Genomic DNA, 7,430 nt, shown 5'->3' with positions numbered 1-7,430 from the left:
CAGTGGAGACTCAGATCAGCAGGTAATATCCTATTGACTCCAACACATTAGTAAAGCATGCTCAGAACAAGAAGGGCTCAAAAAATATTTTGCTTCATGTATTATATTTTTATTCACCTATATTTGTTGTCAGTTTCCAAACCCTTCCCCAGCCCTGCTCCTAAATACACACATTAGAATGAAAATTCCTTGAGAGAAAGGATCTAACTTGTTCACCAATGAATGTTCAGTAGAGAACAGTGACTGCATGCACTATATTTTAAACAGTATATAATGAATTAATAGGTTGGTGCAAAGGTAATTGCAGTTTTTGGCATTACTTTTAATGGCAAAAAATGCAATAACTTTTGCACCAACCTAGTAAAAACAGACTGATATCCCTAGAATCTAGAAGGAAGTATGAGTAAGTTCCAGGAACTGAGATTCTGGGCCAAGTTTACCATTTTATGCTGTTACTTCTCTACACAAATTCTATGCTCTGAACATGTTGACCTTTTCCAAACGTAATCCATAATTTTTATTGTCATGATTTTGCTTCTGCCATTCCACTTTCCCAGGGAATTAAAACCTGACCTCAGTCTAGCTTATGACAGTATTTCATATGCTTGTTGATCATCCCTCACGTGAATCCTTCTTCCATCGCCTCATCATTCGGCATCACAGTGGTCTTTTCATTAATGAAACAAGTAGCACTTAAGTGACTTGCTTTTAAAAAGGGATATGGGGAGGCATTGGTACCAAAGGATGATAATATGTACAAGAATGGGTGTCTTGTTCATTAACTAACCTCAGGAGTACACAGTTTGTCACTGTTTGTAAATCTTGTGCTAGTATTCATTGGCCATATTTTATTTGCCTGACCAATAACCTCCAAAAAACACTTCTTTCACATGAAAAGACTCAGGAAAGAATCAGGAACAAGGTGTCAGCTCCTTCCCTCAGAAAAGAGCATCAGTTCCAGGACCCTATGCCAGCACCCATCTCTTGACAAACTATACCTTGAATCTACCATTTTAATGTTCTTTCTGCGCTACTTAAACATAGTCAGAATGTCCCAAATGAAAAATTGTAACTTTCCAGTCAACCTCGATGGATTGTCTTTCTCCAGAACTGATTCTCCTCTGAAAGTTGTGGGTTGTTGCTCTTTAGTCTCACAGAAAAATTAAGACCCCAGAATTCCAGAGAAGATTTCAGACTGGCCCATCGTGGGGATATTTATATCACATAATTCCTGCTGACAGAAACTACACTCTTTGATGTGCTTGGCAAGAAAAGATGGAGTGCTCATAAGGCACAATGGATCTATCCATCCTTGTTTCTACCCTGAGCAGTATAACATGTTTCTGTAGAAAAATGAATGAGACTGCTTCAAAACACATTAAATTTATACTTATTCTATTTTGGTAGGGAGGCCAAATAATCTATAGTTTATTATTGTTGACCTTTGTGTGTATGATTTTGAAATGTTAATTTGTTTGTATGAATATATATCAACATCCCTGTGTATGAGGATAAAAAGATTATGCACTAATCATATATTGTGCACACCCCCCCACAGGCACAGTCTCACATGAAGCATAGGTATCACTTATATAACTTTCATGTATTTTGGTTTTGAACTGTGACTAGTTGTCTACATATACTAGCTTATAATTTCTCTATAAACAAGACAGTATTTTACATCCCTTTGATTTCTCCACTGAGATTAGCAGTGTTTGGCAGATAGATGTTGGGTGAGTGATCAAGTTCAGCAGGCAGGTGAATAAAGTAAGGCAACCAGAAAAACAGCCTTTGGAACTTGACACTCATAACTGTGTTTCCAATTATTTGTTGTTCCTTGTAGTTTTGTGGTGTATTCAGGAAGAGTCACTGAATGATTTTCAAACTATGCTTTTCCTTTCCAATTTAATCTCTTACTTTTCATTTAAATTAGAGAAATGTTGCTCTCTGAATGAGCACCATGATAAAAGTAGGAGGATAATGTACATTCAAGAGAAAATAAAATTGGGATCACATACATTCACTGAGTACAGCATTCACTTTGACAAACCAATATTTTTCAAGTTCAATGCAGGAGTCCTCAGGCTGTTGATCATACAATGAAATCCTCTACCCTAGAGGAGTAGCAGTATATTGTACACATATGTAATACCCTCAAAGAGCTTCAGCCAAGTGACATTTCTAATATAAGCCACGGGCAACATCTAGCAATGTGTATGGAATTGCTTTGTAGCCAGAATTTCAGGAAAATCAAATGAGTTAACATTTTGTCACCATAGAAATCTCATTAGTTATGATTTTTTGCTGTTTCTCTACTCTATTTTTCAATAGAATGCAATTCAAGACTGAACTGAAGTGGCCAACAGTTACTAAAGACTTAGAATTTTTTTAGAAACCCTTAGGAAAGACATGGATTTGGAAACATTTGATACAATTTTAGTGTGTTTAGAGGTATCTTCTCTTTCTTTCTCCTTTCAATTTGTTATTGCCATAAAAGAACATTTTGCTCTGAAACAACAATTCTAATCTAAGAAAAGAGAAGAGTTCTAAGAGAATCAAGCTGAATTAACTTCCACGCAAGAGTAGTTCTTCAAAATTTTCATTTGCATGTAGACAGCATTGTGGTGAGTTTGGAGACATCTCTTATTCCAAAACTCAACTATGGGTCGTTGGTGCAGTGGCATCTTCTAAATGACATGATCACATCCAAATTGTATGGGCTAGAGGTCAGTTGCTCTTACAGCATGCTTTTAAAATTAAAAAGACACTGACCACTTAGCTTTGATCTATAATTTCAGTTTCACAGAAGAGTGGAGACTGAAGAGCTAGAAAACCTAATAAGAATAAAATAACATCATGAGTTTATTTTTGGCATTAACTGAATACAGATTTTTGATTTGTTTAAGCCTTTAAATGCCATCCCAGAGACCCACTGAGAATGGTTTTATGTTTATGCGAAGCATTAAAAAGTTAAAATTTAAAAATAATAAAATAAAATACTGATTATACTTTGAAAGACCTGAGTGTTTTTATTGACAAAACTAAATGAAATGCAAAAAGTAAACACCACAAGGGATAAAAAAAAAATGGATTATATGATCTTGTTAGGTTTTTAGGAACCTAGACTTCAGTGGTATCACAGTACAAAGACTAAGCAATATTCCTACAAGAACCAAAGCCCAGTGTTTGTTTTTTAAGTAACAAGACACAAAAATTTGTTTATATTTCTGTAGCCCTAAGAAAGTTACAAACAGGCACAAAAGTGCAGCACAATAATGAACTGTATTTTCAGCTGTTTAGGAATTATTTTCTACACATTCATAAGGGTAAGATTTATAGTCGTTGTACTTGCTTTTTGCATACTTGTAGCTTGCAATCATAAGAACTGTTTAGGGAATATTAACACTTATCTAATAGTAGAAAAAACAAAATATATATATTTAGTTGGTTTCAGTAAGTGTGTGGGATGACTGATCAAAGATATTTTAAGCAAAAACAACTGTTTGAATATATAAAAATAAAATATAGTATTCAAAATGCAGTCATTTTCAGTTACATACATTAAGATAATATACACTTTGTAAAAATCTTAGCTCTCTTTTCCTATTGCTTGTCTAGTCTGTGCTTTTAATGTAAGCCTGAGCAAGATATAATTAAAAAGTTAAATCAAATGAAAAATACTTTTAAAACCAAATTTTTTAAAAAAAATGTAATGTAGATTAACGATTTGAGATTATTGCTGCTGATAGCACAAAAAAATTGGAAGTTGAATTTACAGTGTTGTCTTACATACAGAAAAACTTTGCATGCTATTTCTTCAAATGTTCTGTGCCAACCAGATGTCAGTGGAAGACATCCTGCCTTTGATATTTGTACCAAACTGTCTTCAGTCCTTTGAGCCATATCCTTGGAACAGCCTGATGTCCTCCACAGAACATCACTTTATCCACTGGTTTCTTCCCTTCTCTTTGCTCTGTTCCACACTAAACCACCTGTGCAATCAACTCTACTCTTTGTTTCTCCTCAAAAGCCAGACATCTGTGCATTTCACGTCCTTGTTTAAGATTTATGGCCATGTTAAGGTATATAATCACAAAACCCAAACAAATCCAAATTAAACAATAGCTATTGCTATTCTTAAATGGCTTTGGCCACCTATCCAAATTGCTTAGCCTCTTCTCCTGTTTAAAACTCCCATAAACCCCATCTCCCTTTCTTTATTTTGCCTTGCTTCTTAGCTTTCTATTGATCAGATCTCTGAGCCTATCTTTACCTTTCTAATGTGCTTTAAATTTTTTCTTAGTTTAACAGCATTGAAGAAATAGTGAAAGATTGCAGATTTAACCTTTCCTTTCTACTACCCACCAATCTCTTTGTACAGAGTAATACAAAATTATTTGCCAACAAAATAAATTTGACACCTTTCTTCCTTCCTCAAAAGGCAGAAAATGTCACAGGCAGTGTTAAATAAGAATTAATCGTATTCTATTATACACATATCCAAGGGCAGTTGAGAGGCATTTAGAATTTGCAGGATTAGTTGATAACTATGAAGATGACCAAAATAAATTGACTGACAGTTAAAAGAGCAGAACAAAATATTCTGAAACACACCCTTCCATCCCCTTGATCCATAATTATTTTACTGAAAAAGGTCCTACATGTGCTTAAAATATCCCCCGTGCTAATTATCTTTAGTCCTAACTGTTATTCGGACATTAAATTTCAGTGTGACTGTCACTTCTCATGGATGTTGCAAATAAACCCCAAAATTGGGGCTTAGCCCAAGGAGGTTCTTGGATTCGCTGAGGAAAGAATTGAAGAGCAAGCTGACAATGAAAGAAAGTTTATTAGAGCAACAGAGGATGGCAAAATAGCTGCTCCAAGGACAGTTTAGTGTTAGCCCATATGCAGAATGACCCATAAGCAGAATGACTCTTGGATTACTGGCTAGCTGCATTTATACCCACTCTTAATTATAGGCTAATTAGGGGGTGGATTTTTCACAAACGTTCTGGAAAAGGGTGGGGAGTTCCTGGAACCATATAAAGTGACTTCCAGATTGTTGCCATGGCATTTGTAAACTGTCATAGTGCTGGTGGGAGTGTCTTGAAGCATGCTAATCCATTATAATTCACGTATAATTAGCAATAAAGGCAACTAGAGATTGCTTCCATCACCTTTGGTCCTAGCTGGTTTTAGCCTATTTCTTTGCTACATCCTGTTTTGTTCAGCAGGGTTGTGAATGGGGATTGGAAAACAAGTTCTGCTGATCTCCTACCTCATAGGGAATCATTCTTCATTTTGAAGTCTGGGTTAATTATTTTCCCTCTAGACTTCCATATACAGTGTGCATTTCTCTCTTGGTATTATTTTCAACACATTTTAAATGCCCTGTTTTATTATAGTTAGTTCCCCTCCCTTAAAATGAGATGCTGCCTGGCACATAATGGATATTCAAAATAGTTGCTGTATAAATGAGTAAATAAAGATGTAGAACAAAAATGTCAGAATGATAGAATAAGGCCGACAATATATAAAATAGCCAAGAATAAAACTCATGGCTGGGCATGGTGGCTCAGATCTGTAATCTCAGCACTTTCGGAGGCCAAGGTGGGTGGGCTGCCTGAGGTCAGGAGTTTGAGACCAGCTTGGCCAAGGTGGTGAAACCCCATCTCTACTAAAAATACAAAAATTAGCCAGGCATGGTGGCAGGCACCTGTAATCCCAGCTACTCGGGAGGCTGAGGCAGGAGAATCACTTGAGTCTGGGAGGCGGAGGTTGCAGTGAGCCAAGACTGCGCCATTGCATTCCAGCCTGGGTGACATGGGTGACAAGAGTGAGACTTCGAAAAAAAAAAAAAATCTCACATTAACCATTATTCATTATCTATCATAGGACTTTGTATTAGTCCATTTCACACTGCCGATAAAGACATACTCAAGACTGGGCAATTTACAAAAGAAAGCAGTTTATTGGACTTATAGTTTCACGTGTCTGGGGAGGCCTTACAATCATGGTGGAAGGTGAAAGGAACGTCTTACATGGCAACAGGCAAGAGAGAGAATGAAAGCCAAGCAAAACGGGTTTCCCATTTTCAAACCATCAGATCCTGTGAGACTCATTTACTATCATGAGAACAACGCAGGAAAGACCAGTCCCCATAATTCAATCTCACTGGGTTCCTCCCATGACACATGGGAATTGTGGGAGTTACAACTGAAGATGAGATTTGGGTGGGGACATAGCCTAACCATATCAGACTTTAAGTCAACATTGGCTATTTCCTTAGATAGTCTGTCTTGTCCTGTCTTTCAAAATATATGTCACTCTACTGTTCAAAGCCCTTCAAGAATTAAGTTAAAAAGTAGACAGAGAATGGAAAATTCAATTGTTTGTTTTAACTAGCATATCCATATCAAGTAATTTCAACAAGCTTCATCTCTATATAACATCTTTATACACTAACTAACCAGTAATTTTGTCTATCTTGGTAATAAGGTCTATCATGGGGCTATAAAATTGCTATGCAAGGATATTTAAAAGTAACTTTCTGAAGAATATTCATTTACAGAGAATTAATGGTCAAGACCATCTGAAATATGTCCAAAAAACACACGGAAAAAAGTATATAATTGAGGAAAACAGTGCAGTGATATATTAAGGTCTGCCAAGTTTCCCATTATAGCACCAGGTGAAATGCTCCCTCGAGTATCACTTGGCATGAAAGAAATCAAACCAGAAGGGAAGCTAAACATTCAAATTGGTTCATGGTTTTATGAGTTATAGAAAGACATTAAAGAAAAAAGATATGGAAAGTTGTAATTTTTCTTTTTAAAATCTAACTCCTATTCTTTTAAAGAGTTTATTTTGATATAAGACATGAATCTAGTCTATTCTCTGACATCATTAGACTGTGCGTGGTCCAATGTGTTAGGTAAAAATAAAGCAGGCACTTAAATGGCCTGGATTTTGAGACCACCATGACTTGAGGACTGCAAAGGATGGTGGAAAATCAACAAAAGCTTTTCAAAATATTTGTATGACAGAATTAAGTTTGGGAAAAGCAATATTTATGTATGAAAAGACACTTCTCACTTATAAACACGCACCTTTATGGTATGCAATTTATAGAATATTTCAAGCCAAATGTGGAATTAAACACAAACTAGTGAATTATTTGAAGACTATTTCTCAGTTTGGAACTAAAATCCCTTCTAGCCATTAAAAATAAATGTCATAGACATGCTCTAACAATACTGCCATCTATCTAGTTCCTTGAAAGCTGCAACATTGACATCTATTCTCTTGAGATTACTGACATGCTTTCTATTCTTGAAGGTTTCAACATTTAAATGAAATATTTTCATTTATTTTACCTTTATGGTTTTAGAACACTCTACTGAATTCACAGTCTCCTTCACATATTA

The sequence above is a fragment of the Homo sapiens genome, chromosome 14, assembly GCF_000001405.40.
Source record: "Homo sapiens chromosome 14, GRCh38.p14 Primary Assembly".
Taxonomy (NCBI): domain Eukaryota; kingdom Metazoa; phylum Chordata; class Mammalia; order Primates; family Hominidae; genus Homo; species Homo sapiens.
This window is presented reverse-complemented; position numbering follows the sequence as displayed.